Genomic DNA, 15,256 nt, shown 5'->3' with positions numbered 1-15,256 from the left:
AACTAGAGAATTCTCACTAACAAAAGGCCTTGTTACCAGGATAGATGGTCAATTTGTGACTGAGTTGTAGCCAAATCATAGGTGTGGGATAATCACACTATATCAAAATTTAAATGTAAAAATCTGCCTATCTTTATTCATTGACCATGAACCAAGAGCTCCAGTCCTCCTGGTCATATTTAATAGGGAAAAATATGTTTGGATGGATTGATGGATGGAGGGCCAAACAGATGGATGTATGGAGAGACTTATCTAATGAGGCAGCTTGGTATTTTGAGAGAGCACAGGTTTTGTGTAAAAAAAAAAAAAAAAAAAATCCAAACTGGTTTTTTTGTGCTAAAAGCAGTCTAATTAAGAGCTGAGCTGCTAAAATCAGTTTGCTTGGCTTAAATTTTGGTGTGTCCACTTACTGCTGTGTGGCCTTATGCAAATTTCTTAACCTTCCTGAGTCACCAGGTTCTCATTCATATAAAGAGAATTTGAACATCTATTATATGAAGTTATTAGGAATATACGTAATAACTATCATCAATCTCAGTTTTCTTTGAATTGCTTATCTAAAGAAGTTTATCTCAAAAGTATCTTTGCCTATGTCTTAAACATTTATTATTTATACTGATTTGGAGGAACGTATTTGTTCTGTCATTATTGATTACCTGTATGATAGTGTCTTAGTTCATCACAGAAATTCTTTATCTGACTCCAAAGCAGACACTTAAATAGGCCATGCATGTTAGCACTTATTCTACTGGGGGCTTGAGGTGAGTGGGTATTAACACAATCAAACCAATTGTTTGGGTTTGTAAAAACAAAATTAGTGCTTTAATCTATTTTTATACTTTGAATACTAGTGTAGGTATTAAATAAAGAGCTTAAACCAAGAAAAACCATACCATCCTGAATCTTAGGAAAGTTACTTTGTTGTTGTTAGAGAAAAAAACAACAGGTTTATTTATAATATAAAATTAACAGCAATTGTTCACAAAGACGACTTTGTTTGCTACTCAAAAGGACCCTGTGAGTGTTCCTATCCTGATTTTGCTGATGAGGAAACGGGGAGAAACTGTTAGGAGGTACATTCCTTACACTATGTCCTATGGCTGATAAGTGAAGGGGGCCAAGATCTGAACATAGGCATTCTGGCTCCAGAGCCCAGGCTTCTCACTACCTCATTAAATTGCCTCTCAAATAATCATACCGTGTTAAATGGGCTGGATGGGACCTTGGAGATCATATAATCCTGTCTCTTTGTATTACCGCTTGTAACTGTAAAGCAGAGAGAAGTTAAACGATCTGCCCAAGGTTATACACTTCCGTCTCTTTCCCAACATAATAACACACTCTCGTTGAAACTCATTTCTAGGATTTATACAAACTAATGGCAAAGTCATGACATTTTTTAATTGAATGCCCAATAAAAGAATCATTTTCATCTTGTTTTACCATCTCATGTCCATGAGTAAAATGTTGAAAACGTGTTGCAAAGCCAAAAGGGTCCTTATCTTCATGAATAGCCTGCTTTTTTATAGAAGAAGGAAAACCATCACTAGGCTGAGTCTGTTTTAAATGAAATAAGTATGTAGTCATTTTCTTGGTGAAGAGAATCTCTGGGGCATTAAGGGAAAAGATGGCACATCTGACCTTCTAAGTCATGTAACTTCAACTTAGACAATATATGACTTCAAGAAAAGTATCATCTTTCCTATAGTTGCTGGTCTTATATATCTTATGAGATCCTTCAGGTCACTTCACTCTGGTTTCAGGTAGAAAACCAATGGGGCTAAAAGTGCTTTGTGTTTCCAACAGACCAATCAATTTTATTTTTAACTGTTAAAGTATTTGTTGCTGTTCAGTCAATCTTTTACTCTTGCTTTAGTCAGACATTAGAGAGGATGATTATAAGTAAGTATATTATCTGAATGATCTTCTGATTTCAAAGTCAGGGATTATTTTCCTTGAATGTTTAAGTGGTCATCTCTACCTTTTCCAAAGCCAGAAAGCAAGAAAGGCTGTGGGTCATCTTCCTTGAAAAACTACATACCACAACTGAACACAATTTAAAATTGCAGCCATTAGATTAAAATCTCTCTCAAGGGTTCTACACAAGGGCTCATTTTGGTGTTTTATATAAAGGCCCAGCTCCCTGACCAACTTTTTGACCTTAGTTGAGTTACCTAATCTCTCTGAACCTCAGCCTCTCTACCTGTAAAGTGGGAGAGACAACAGTACTTACCCACAGGATTTTTATAAGAGTTAAATCCTAAAATGTATATAAAATTTTTAAGACATGACTTGATGCTTAATAAATCTCAGATGTTATCTCTGTGAATTCAGCATTCAATTACAATGCACTTATCTAGTTCTGAGGCTTCCGTTTTTATCTTTAGGCATATTATGGACAAATATTTTTGCCGCTCTGATTCTCACGCTCCAAGTATTCATTCATTTATATAACACATTCACTGACTGTCTGCTAAGTGTCAGGCATTGTCCCAGGCACTGGAGCTACAAAGTGAGCAAAACAGATAAAAAGTTCCATTATTGAGCTTACCTTCTATTAGGAAAACATGATAAATAAGTAAGCATATATGTAGTTTAATATAAATAAATGCTCAGGTAAAAAAATAGTGTAGAAGTGACACAGGACTTATTAGGATATATTGGACAAGAGTGTTAAGGAAGTAGGTCATGAATATTGCAATTTCAGATAGGATGACCAAGGAAGGCTTTCCTAAGGCAGCAATATTTTAGTAAAAATGTGAAGGAGATGAGGAAACAAACCCTATGACTATCAGATCATTTCTGTCCCAGATCACAGCAAACATTTATGTAAGCACCAACCACATGCACTCTATTTTAGGTATCTGTTTCTTGACTCTGTATGTCCCAATTTAACCCATCAACTCCCCGCCCCGCCCAACCTGCAGTATTTCTGTTCTATTCTTCTAATCATGCAGGCGAAGAATTAACCATGCCATTGCTGATGCTTGCCTTCTGTTCCCCTGTCCGTGCATGCCAATGTCCATCTACTCAGCTGCTAAGTCCTAAAAATTTATCTCCACAGTTCTTTCACATTTACTGTATTCTTTTTGTTTCTGTTGACACCAGTGTAGTTCAGACCCATAGTACCTTTAACTTGACTATCTTAATAATCACCTCACTGATGCCTCAAAGGCCAGCCCACAGTGATCAGTTCACTCTTTGTAGACATCCATGGGCTTGTCAGTTCACAATTTCAGAATCTTCAGGAATTCCCTGAATCAAAATAACAATAAAAGAGGTTGGGCAACTCTGTGGCTTGTCAACAACATGCGGGCTCTGGGTCAGCTCACAGATTCCTTTGGCCTTCTCATCATTGAAACAGGAAGGCTACAGCAAGCAGAAGCAGCACAATAACCAAAGGCAGAAATGAGTAAGCCTCTGTATCAATGAAAGCTTACACTTTGCTATCACCACCAACCACAGCTGATTTCTTTTCATCACCATGGTTGTGTCACATATGTGTGCTTATAGCAATCATGGGAAAGGGAACACCAATCAACATGCTTTCCCTCAACTCATGACCTTCTAATATCTGAACAGATTCAAGGATTCTTTAGCAAGGAAGAAAGGGAGCAGAAATGGCTTTTGGATGGGCAGCAAATAATGTCTGCCAAATCCTCTACTGAATAAACTATTGACTATGATATGCAAGCCTTCTGAGAATAACCTTATTTTTCCTTCTTCAACATGGTTTAGTCAGTATGTGCTCTGGACTCTCTCATCTCCATGCCCTAGATCGGTTTGTCTCAATGTGTGGTCCAGCGACTAAGATATTATTTGCCTTTTTTATTCTCATTCTTACACAAATGCACAGTGGAGTTTTCCAGAGGCTACTTGATATGTGCTCTTCAACAGATTCAATGAAGAAGCAGGTATAGAATCCAGCTTTGTTGTATTAAGCCAAGGATTAAAGGGGTTTTCAAAAATGTACACAGTGCCATTCTTCTCACTGAATTTATTTTTAGAAAGCATATTCATTTTTTTAAAAATGTTATCTATCTCAACATGCAATGGGTATGTTATTGTTTCTAAATCCATCGATAAATACAAATTTTAAATGCCTCAATTGCATTTTCTAATATGATAAATATCAATATGTATAGAATGCATAAATAAAAGCTCTTTGGGGTCTTCCAATAATTTTTAAGATTATGATGGGGTTCTGTGAGAAAGTGGTTTGGGAAATGTTGTCCTGGCCTAGATTACGTAGCATCTTCTACCTGTGATGCCACTTCCTCCATCACGAAATGCTCATCCTAAAAGATTTAGGTCAGAGGACTCTTCCTCAGTCCTTGGGAGGAAGCTGTCATTCCACTGAATCTCAATGTATTCCTTTTCTATTGCTGCATTACAAATCATCCTACAATTTAGCAGCTTAAAACAACAATGTTTATACCTCAGAGTTTATGTGGGTTGGGAATCTGGGTGTGGCTTAGCTGTGCTTCTGACTTAGGGTTCCTCCTACAACTGCAATCAAGATGTCAGCCAGGGCTGCAGTTCTCTCAAGGCTCAGCAGGGGGAAGATCCACTTGCAAGCTCACTCATGCGTCTGCTGGCAATACTCAGGCTCTTGGTGGTTGTTGGCCAAGGTGTCTTGACAAAATGGCTGAAATTCCCTCCCTTCCCCCAACCCCTAAGAAAGAGATGGTAGGTAGAGAATGGACGTGGGGGGAGGGGGAGAAGAGGTGGATGCCAGAGTATTATTTTTATAATCTAGTCTTGGAAGCAACATAGCATCATTGTGGCCTGTTATTTGTGGGGCCCAATGCAAAAGAAATATGTGAAGTCCCTAGTTCAAAAAGCAGGAAGAAGTTCCCTTAAAGGGTTTTTTCTTTCTTCTGTTGGTGTCTTTTTCTTGACTTCCTATGGTGATTTTTACTTGCTTTGTCATTCTGAGTAGAGAAAGGTTAAAATTTTAAATAATTAGCATAATTTTACCATTCATTTTTATATTGTACTATGCCAGGTTTAGATGCAAATATAAGAGCATCTAATTTTTATATAGAATCACCAAAATTACACAATTTGTATCTCATAGCTTATACATTCATGTGTATTTCATTCTTACAAGAATAGTGGAAACTTACACAAAACGAATTTAACTGTTTTTATTGCACATCATGATGCTCACGCATTCTACCAACTCTGCCTACCTTTGCTTGCTGATAAGAAATGACTGAAAGGAAAAGAAAATACAGTCTGCCCTGTCTTTTTCCACCAGTGTCATAATTTTCAGTATAAATGGTTGGCTAATCCAGGGAAGTCAACTTCCACACATCCAGGGAAGTCACACACACACACACACACACACACACAAAACAGTATGATAGCGTTCCTTGGTCATTCGTATTTCTCAGGACATTATTGCCATCTTTCTCTGTGATAAACAAGCTCTGGTTTGAACAAAAGAGGCATCTTGTTGGGGCAATCTGCTTCCTCCTTACTTACTCATAGAAGTAATGCACTTGTATTAGTCTGTTTTCACACTGCTGATAAAGACATACCCAAGACTGGGCAATTTACAAAAGAAAGAGGTTTAATGGACTTACAGTCCCACATGGCTGGGGAAGCCTCACAATCATGGCAGAAGGCAAGGAGGAGCAAGTCACCTCTTACATGCATGGTAGCAGGCAAAAAGAGAGCTTGTGCAGGGAAACTTCCATTTTTAAAACCATCAGATCTCATGAGACTCATTCACTATCACAAGAACAGTGCAAGAAAGACCCCCCCCCCCCCCATAATTCAATCACTCCCACTAGGTTCCTCCCACAGGAGAATTACGGGAGTTAAATTCAAGATGAGATTTGGGTGGGGACACAGCCAAACCATAACAGCACTTACCTTGTACTTGCTTTGAGTCTCACGAGTTCCCATGACTCATGGGGTCACCAGAATCCTGCGCTCATGAGGCACTGAGAACCATCTATGTGAACAAGGTGGCAAGGGGAGGAGGCAGACACACATATTGAACACAGCTCATGGAGCTCATGCTCTGATCCATTGTCTCACTTGACTTCATTTACAAAATTCAAAGCTAAAATGATTAAGAATATCAAGTTGATGACAACAGAACATTAAACCAAGTTCAGGACTCTGTGTGCCCTGTGTGCACTGGCCACATGCCTGTAAAGCCAGCCCTGCCCATCACTTCTCCTGTTTTACAAGAATAGTTACTAGTTACAGCCCACACTCAAGGGTAGGGCATTACACAAGGGCATGAATACCAGGAGGCAAGACCCTTGAGGACCATTTTAGATGTTGCTGCCACATCCAACATCATCTTTCTGTTTTGACTTGTTCTTTTCTTTCGTATACTCTCTATATAGTTACTCATGTACATATTATTTTGTATACTGTTCTATGTGATAATCTCCTTAAGGATAGCGCTCCTCTCTGATATATATCCTGACATGCCTTTATCATATGTAATATACAACACAAAGCAAGGACTGAATACATGCTTTTGGAATGAATGAATAAGTGAATTAATGATGCAGTGGAACTTTGATTTAAATTCTGGTAATCAGTCTTCGTGAAAAATTACCATAATGAGAAGTTGACCTTAATATTTTCCTCAAATATTGCAAGATTAAGACTGTCGTTATTATTTCAGATCCTTATTTTTGCACAAGCCACATATACTGATTTCTCTTTATTCCCCCTTGTCATGAACTGTCCCCCCTCTAAACATGGATTTTTTCTGACCTCTTAAAAAATCTTATTTAAGTTATTGTTAGGGGTGAATTATTGTACTTGAAAAGAAAATTAATGATACAAGGGACAGCTGGAGAATATCTGGAGAAACTGTTCCATTGGCATTTATATTTTTATTTTGGACTGCATCAAAATGGCAGGGGAGCTACGCCCTTTTAATGGCTTGCACATGTGGTCAGGCATTGTGTGAGCAAATAATGCTTCCCAGTGCTTGTATTCAATTTTCAGAAAAAGAAAATAAAAATGAACAGAAGTCTTTGTAGATCTAAGCATTTTCTTCAGTTTTCTTCTTCGGTCTATCCCACAATGCATAAGCTTTCACTTCTAGATCTGTTTCAAGGGTCTTTTATAATGACAGAAGCTAAGTCTTTGTTTCCAAGTAGCAGAATACAGAATGCATCAGTGTGCCATTTAAGAAAAACTGTTTTGTCAGTCTTGTTTATGCACTCAAGATAATACAGTGTTTTAAAAAAAGGCTGGACTCAACCTCTGCCTGTTTATTCAATATAAACAGAAGCATCCCTTTTGACGTTGTAAGGACAGGATGTGTGCTAATTTCAACAAGTAAAAGCCACTGCACTTGGCCACATAAATCCTTGTCTGAAGCAACCTTGCTGCTTCACAATATTGTGAAAGGGCACATAAAGGATGATAACGATGATGCGCATCAAATATTAATGTGCATTGACACACAGTCGTCTATTACAGCAGGAAAGTACCCACAGTGAGCTGCTATAGGGTTATGCCTCCCTTCACCTTTGTCTTTACACTTGAGCTTTCCCTCCACTTCCCATGCCTAAGTAAAACAAAGCACTCTGTACCCTAAGGAGCAACTCCAGGAAGGTCTGGCAGCCAAGTGACTGGTGGCCTGTTTAGTTAAAATAAAACGCCTATTGGGCTAATGTGTGATCAAGAGAGGATTGACATTTATTGTTTCAGGTTTATGATACTGTGAACTGAGCAAAAGTGAAAGCCACTTGGGGGCTTAGGGTGGGGAGGGGCGCACAGGGGCAGGAGTTCACAAGCAATGAATTGTATTTTTTTTCTTTACCATTTTCTTCCCAGCATGTTAGCAATAAATGCATTGTCTTTTTATCATGTTTTATGTAAGAATGTATGAATAACCAAGCAACAAGTCAACTCCGCAGTTTAGAAATAAATGTGTTGGTTAAATAGTTCAGTCAGGGATGTATTTTTCTCTTTGTATTAAGCGGCAAAAGCAGCTGTGCTGTATCTGTGCCCTGCATTCAGACATTGTATCTCCCCCTTGTGGATCAGGCCCCCTCGAGCTAGCACCCATCCCATATCCTGCTTCATTTTAGAATAGTACCACACCTAAATAGGAAGGAAGCACCAGGAATCTGTTTATGCAATTCTAAATCTTCCAATTTAAAAAGACATATGCCGAAAAATCAACATATTGCTTCCAGACAGAGTTTTTTATTATTATGGCACATCTACAGATCTCTTCCCATAGAAAATGCAAGTACTGAATTTTATACCCCACGATAATATGCTGAAGCAGAAATTTTGCTTTTTGCTACACAGAAAACAATTTCTACACTTTATAAGTGATGCCTAAGTGAGAGTTGCACCAACTTCTTAGATTTGAACTGTGCTGTTTTCCATGTCTTCTTATGAAGCAAGTTTGGGTTTTTGGTTTTTAACAAGAACGCTATATCATTAAATTAAAAAAAAAAAAAACCCTTCTGTTAGCTGAATTTTTGCCTCAGATAAGACCTTACCCAGCATCAGCTTAACCAGTAACTTCACACTTGGTTGTAGGCTCATCCTTCATCATCCCCGATCAATAATTCAAAAGCTCAATAGAAATGCTTTAAATTGAAATTGAACACACCATTAACAGTCCTAGAAAAGTGGGCATCATTCAAACAAAACAACCATAGGCACTCTGTCCATCACCAACACAATGCTTGATATAGCTTGAAGTCTGGATTCCTCACTAACTACCATGCATTTCCCTCGGATCATTACTTAGTCCTGAGTGAGTAAACTTCTGATCACCTCCCTTCATCTTGGCATTAGTCTATTTCCTTTATAATAGGCAACAGTATACCTCATTCATTCCCTCTTTGTTCGGGCCTCTCTGCTTTTCGTTAATTTTCTCCTGGCCAACCAGCCAACTCTGGCTCCCTGTGGTTATAGGAAATTATCCATGCAATGAACTTAATTTAGAAAACTCTGCTGCATAAAGAGGTGGCAGAATTATTCTTCTCATAGTCCAGTCTATGTTGACTTTCATGCTACAGCATTTCAACAGTCATTGACATAGAAATAGATGCTTAATTTAAAATGTTTTTGCAAAAGTCATTGGACGATTGATAAATAAAGCCGAGGCTAGACTCCAAATAAAGTGCTTAAAAAAGTAAAATTCTGGCATTCATCTTCCTTATCCCTTAATGGGGAAAAACTCTCATGAAACACCAACCATATATGTACTCCGCGAGTATATATTTTAAAACGTGTCTCCATTATTAGAAAATGTGCCTGCTATGCACACTTAAAATAGGTGAATTCTAACTCAAATTTTAAAATTTTACTGTAGAATAATTGTTTTTAAATTCATTCAGGAACTACCAGTGTTCTCCACATGCCTGACACAGCTCTATTCTATACCATGCTAACATAAGGAAGCATTTCACTTACTTTGATAAATTGTAAAGCTTCTCTCTTTCTGCTTATGAAAGAACAAGAATCCATCATATTTTTAAAAGCAAAACAAAAAGAACAAAATACTGAAGGGCACTCCTGAATTTTTTACAATATACAATTTTATGCTATATATAAATTGAAATAATGTGTTGGCCTAATACAGCTTGTGTTGACTTAATGCAGCTTATAGTAGAATGAAGAGTGGGAAGTATCCATAAAATATAATTCTATTTTAGTATTTATGATAAATCAACTATGGAAAACCCTCATCTATGGGAAATACATTCAAAATTATCACATGAATAGAGAAATATGGGAATATTGTGCCTTAGCAATCATAAAGATATGCATAGGAGATTTGTGACTGTCACAAGGAATATCTGTGAATTTGTCACACATTCATCCCCAAACTGTCCCCTTGGCAGTGTTCTTTCACAGAATTCCAGAAGAAACACTCTATTTAGTGTTAATCTTTCTTTAGCATGCCTTTTAATCACTTTGAAGCTTGTGATTATCTTTACTCAATGAAAGTTGCTAAACCTTCATCCAATGAGTATAGTCTGCCCCCAAGTCAGGTGATCTAAGGATAATAGACATATCACTAAAAAGGAGCTATAGAGGTGATGAGAGGAAAGCTCTCCCAGTTTAATTCTGTGTCTGACTAGCAGACCTAATGAAATTTTCCCAACTAATAAATAGAAACATAGATAGAAGATAAACAAACAGACAGACAGAGATATGAAAAAGTCAAATTAGCATAAGTGCAAAGCCAATAAAACTGGACTTAAAAATTTAATCAACACCCTCCATTTCTTTGTCTGCAGAAACAAAGAGTGCCCACCCCTACCTCCAGCCTATTTTGAAGAACATAAGGACAAACCAATCAAAAACTGTGCAGCCTTTCCTTTATAGATTGATGTTGCTTTTGGAGAAAAAAATAATACTGTCATCACCTTTCTGTTTCCCATGAGTTGTCACCTCTCTCTCAAAACTCAGGCAGAAATTACAGTTCCTAGCGTATAATTAGGCATGACATAGAAATAGGAAGTACCTGGTGTTGATGTAGTTCCCACAAGAAAAAAATGCTACAGGCAGAAGAGGTAGAGAATATAGGCAGAGTCATGGATGTTGAAAATATCCATGATTATAGATTTGTGTGTACTCAATCTATTCATGTCTTAGAGGGCAAAGGTCAGCCATTTTAGATAAAAGCCTAGGCACTCGGCTTTGAACTAAGAACTTTGTCCATCAACCTGCCAACATAGACAAATAAGGGAATATGGCCAGTGTGCAAGAAAACAGAAAATAGCATAAATCACAATCCGTACAACTTGCATATTGGCAAACTAGGTTTAGGTAAATCAGGACTTATTCAAAGATGAATAAGCAAGTAAAAAAAAAGATAAAAAAATCTTCAATGTCTTTTCTATCTTCCATACTTCATAACAAAAGGAAATCAAACATAATACTTAGTGTGACTGATTGGGAGATACTTACTTCATAAGCTTATTGTAATAAGATAAAGAATGTAATTTATCTAGAAAGCACTTAGCACAGCTCCTGGCAAGTAGTAAACATCCAATAAAGAGTAAGTATTATTATTATTGATAAACAATTGAAACTAAAGAGATGACTCAAAAACTGCTTTCCTGAGTCCAAGTAAATCCAAAAAACAAAAACTCAGTGCAGATTAAAAGAAAAAATCTCAGGCAAAATCAGTGAATTAGTGAATAGATGCCCACTCCAAGATATATCATAAAATAAGATTTTAATTATAAAGACAGAGAAGAAAAACTGACAAATATCCAGGTACAAAGAAACACTTTGCTTCCTCTATCAGAAGGGTTCTACCAAAGAAACAAAGCCACTACTAATGTTACAAAATTAGGGATGTTTCATGAGAATAAGCCCCTACACATTTGTGAGAGCTGCTAAAGTAATAAAGTAGAACATGGTAGGGGGTTGCCTCTGCATGTTGAGTTGGTCCCAAAGTCACTATAGACTAACAGGGTTATTAATCAGGAAGAAAAGTTGAATGTGAGTCAAGGACAAACCAGAACATGCAAGGACAAACTGGACCACATATCTCTCTCTCCTAGCCTTCAACTTCAATGATGAGGATGACCTGTAGAAGATGAAACCTTTACTATGAAGCTGCACACCCACCTGGGTTTGGACTCAGAGAGGCTTATGGAGGAGATCTAGTGGGAGCTTGAGATGCTGCAGGCCTCCCTGCTGCCCCACACCAACAACTTGAGGCAGCAACAGATCAGCAGTGATCAGTGTGATCAGCAGGTGCACCTGGCACCCTCCATAGATGTGCAGAGACTAATGGGTATAGCTTCACTTCCAGACAATTCTCTTATGGCCAACACTAACCCAAAACCGTGCACAAGAGGATTTCTGTGAAATGCAGTTGCAACTTAGATACCTACAAAGGAACAAAAATGAGAATGACCTCAGGCTTCTCTTCTACAAATCTTAATTCCAGGCAACAATGGAACAATGGCAACTGAATTATGAAAGAACTAAGCTATGAGCTAAGGACTTAGTTCCTGTATTTGCTTTTTTCGTATCCGAAGACATCTATCCTCCTTACTTCAGCTCACACAGATTTTCAAAATTCCTTAGATTTCCCACACCTCCATCTGCCCCTGCTCCTTTTCAGTTTGAAGTTCTTCTCCACAGCCCAATGTTACCATGTACTATGATGCTCTTGGGGGCAGTTCTCAAATTCACACTTTTGCTTGCGTCTTGTCACTTAGTTATGGCACATGGAGTCCTGCATGTTATTCTATCACACTACCTTTCTATCTCTTCTTTCCACTTTGGTTCTAGCCACGTTATTCTTTAAATTGCTCTCAGGTTTACTATGGTCTCTGTTCTTTCAGTTTGGGGCCCACACATACCACAAAATCAGTACCTAGGAGGAATGGTAGAGTCTGCTTTGAAAGATAATTCTCTTGTGTCTGTTTCACCCTTTGTCTTTTTCTATATCTTCTCATTTTCTATATCTTCTCATTTTTCTTACTTTTTCAAATTTTATTCTATTCCCTTTCTTAATTTCTATACTTATCTAAAGGGAGAAAGTACTCTGGAACCTTCAATAATCAAAATTCTATTTTCTTTCTTTGATGTTCTGCTTCAGCCTAGTTCTTCTAAGAGCCCTGTGATCAGTTCTCCTAGGAAAGTGACTGGTAAAATCAAAGAAAATTGAGTAAGTAAGTGTCCTCAACCCCAGAGTAGTATTGGTGTGAGAATTTAAAAAGAAAGACAACACCTGTGCTTGCAAAGATACAGTCTCTCTTTAAGATGTAAGGGAGGACTAGGTATTCTTAAACTTTTTAATATGCTTTTCAAACTACTCTGAATGATCAATGCTTAAGAAAAACTATTAAATAGATAAAGTGTTGTTGAGTATTACACATTTGAGAGGTCACTTTAAAATGGAACAAAAGTTCAAAAGTAAAACAAGAAATGTATTTTGCCCTTAAAGTATTAGCATACAATTCAATATGCTGTTGAAAGCACAGACACAGAGATGGTTGCAAGTCAAATGAAGGTTATATTATAATTGATACTTTGAATTGTTAAGGAGAAGCAAAGGTGAAATGGAATGCTTTTACTATTATTTTTGTTGAAATCTTATTAAAAACTTTTAATGGAATGCAAACTAGAGACCATCTTCAAGGTCTCAAGTTAAATTAGATATGCAGCCATTAATAGTATCCCTTACCATAACACTTTTTGAAAATAACTTTCCCAACACAGAGATGGGCTAATCCATTTTCTAACTTATTTGTATTTTCTTTGCTATTTCAGAGAAATTCATGAGCTCAAATGATATAAGATATAATCATCATACTTACTCCTGATTCTCAAATATAGTTGAAAATATCTGGATTGCAATTTATACTAAGTATATACATATATATAAAATGAGTAAATTTAGCATTATAATTCAGTGGTTTGCAGTCATGTTTAAGTGCTTGAGCACCTGAAAATCTTGATATTTGGTGAAAATGTTCATGAAATAACGACATTTTAATTGAACTGAATTAGAAGGAAATTCACCTGCAGAAATATGACTTTTTATATGTATGCAAGTCTCTACACATAAAAAGTAATGATTCATAACATATATTTGAGAATTAACATATGTAAGATTTGCCTTGCTTCTTACATATTCTTGGTTCATTCATTTTGTCAAATTTAGCAGCACATGCCACTAGGCAAATTGAAGAACCAACAATACTAGGGAAAAGAGGGTAGGGAAGAAAAACTTACAATTCAGAACAATTTCTTTTTTAGCTTGTTTTCCTCAGAGCCTGGAAAAAAGCTGTTATTATTTTATTTTAGTGGCAGAACATCTTGGTTGTGCTCCCAACAGAATGGTTTCCTAGAAGCATAGTATGAAACCTACTATTTTAGTGTGTGTATCTGCTCAGACACATTTCTGAAAGAGAACACTTTATCTATGTGAGCAAAGAAAAATAGTATAACTGCAGTAAAATTTTCACATTATGAAACCTCAAGGCCTTTAAAATAATTCTCATCATCCAAAACCAATTCTCCATGTAGTGTTCTAATCATTTTGAACATAGTTTACATATTATTCTAATTATTTGATTAACCGCGCCTGTCCTATTGAATCACCATCCAGCACCTTTTCAATGCCCTTTATTCTTAGTAAAGAAAAATGTGCAAACTTTAATATATCATCAGGAAAAGCCAATGCAAAATACAAGGACCCTGAAAAAGAAAAAAAAAAGACAACATTTAAAAATGTAATATTTTGTGCATGTTATAATCATCATTTCAGAGGAAGGAAGCAATTCTAAAAACAAATTTTCAAAGCTATTTTTACATTAACATTATTTTTTCTAAATGTGCATCCATTATAGTAGAGTTATCTTTTCCTTCCTTAAGCTCAGAATTAAGTCAATTTCCTGGTATGCAATGTGGCTTTATTTTTTTTGTTATTTAAATTGTTTAGCCAAAGTGAGATCAGCAACTACTTATTTATATGTTTGAGGGCACTGTGAGCTGAAATAACAAATTTTGTATAACTTATCTAACTAAAAATATTTATAATACTTCTCAATAATGATTCTAATGAAGATGTATTGAGTAATTTATTACCATCTTTTATGTTTTAAGAGTTCTGATAGTACAAGTTAAAAAAAAATAGCCTACTTCTACTCTTTTACTGAAATCAAATAGATGGCATGTGATGATTAACATAAAAAAGAACACATTCAACATAATATATTGCGATAGTGGCAGTCTAATAGAAAAATAGCAACTATTTATTTACTTTTATTTATTCGTTTTATTTATAATAGATATGTACAAAATGTAAAATTATTTCTAAGAAGATTTTTCTTTAAACACCAAGCATTACAGTAGATGTTGTCTGAATGTGTGTAATTGAGAATAATAATATTGTATAATAATATTAATATGATTGTGGCTAGAAGGAATTTATTTGATCACATAAGTACAGCAAATTAAGAATAAGATCTCAGCATATCCTGGCTACTACATAAATGTAGCAAAGTTATTTTGCTACCTTGAAAAAAATACAAGTGGACAAAAAATTGCCTAATTTCATGGAAAAACTATAATTTTGCCAGTTAATACATGAGATTCTCAAATTCACGAATTTAAAATGTTTAAATAATTATACTTTTGCTGCCTGAAAATATATTGGATCAAAATTTCAAGTGAATATCATCAGGGGATTTGGATGGGGAAGAGCAAGAGGGGAAGAAGGAGGAGAGGAGATTTAGTCTAGCACTATTTCCAGCTGATCCCCACCCAGCAT

General features: G+C 36.3%; 1 protein-coding gene and 1 long non-coding RNA gene across 9 annotated transcripts in view, besides 1 other annotated feature; one reads left to right on the top strand and one right to left on the bottom strand.

Annotated features, from left to right (window-relative positions):
- Nucleotides 1-15,256, bottom strand: part of CAVIN2-AS1 (CAVIN2 and TMEFF2 antisense RNA 1) — a 217,342-nt gene that overhangs the window by 29,993 nt on the left and 172,093 nt on the right. The window contains exon 1 of one of the 4 annotated variants that reach the window (NR_187186.1): nt 3,157-5,682. The exons of 1 other annotated variant lie outside the window; for it this stretch is intronic. This is a non-coding gene — a long non-coding RNA (CAVIN2 and TMEFF2 antisense RNA 1). Of the gene's footprint in view, nt 1-1,198; nt 1,317-3,156; nt 5,683-15,256 lie in introns of those variants that run through there. 2 more of the 4 variants (NR_187185.1, NR_187187.1) reach the window with 2 other exon arrangements.
- Nucleotides 1-15,256, top strand: part of TMEFF2 (transmembrane protein with EGF like and two follistatin like domains 2) — a 245,888-nt gene that overhangs the window by 161,097 nt on the left and 69,535 nt on the right. The gene's annotated exons all lie outside the window — the stretch shown is intronic.
- Nucleotides 4,462-4,631: an enhancer, noted in NCBI's record as "active region_16884". NCBI's record gives its function as "activates an Ori minimal core promoter by ATAC-STARR-seq in GM12878 lymphoblastoid cells {active_cell/tissue: GM12878}" and the evidence as "EXISTENCE:reporter gene assay evidence [ECO:0000049][PMID:35858748]".

This window comes from Homo sapiens, chromosome 2 (assembly GCF_000001405.40).
Source record: "Homo sapiens chromosome 2, GRCh38.p14 Primary Assembly".
NCBI lineage: Eukaryota > Metazoa > Chordata > Mammalia > Primates > Hominidae > Homo > Homo sapiens.
Note: the sequence above shows the minus strand (reverse complement) of the source record. Positions and strands in the feature narration are given on the sequence as shown.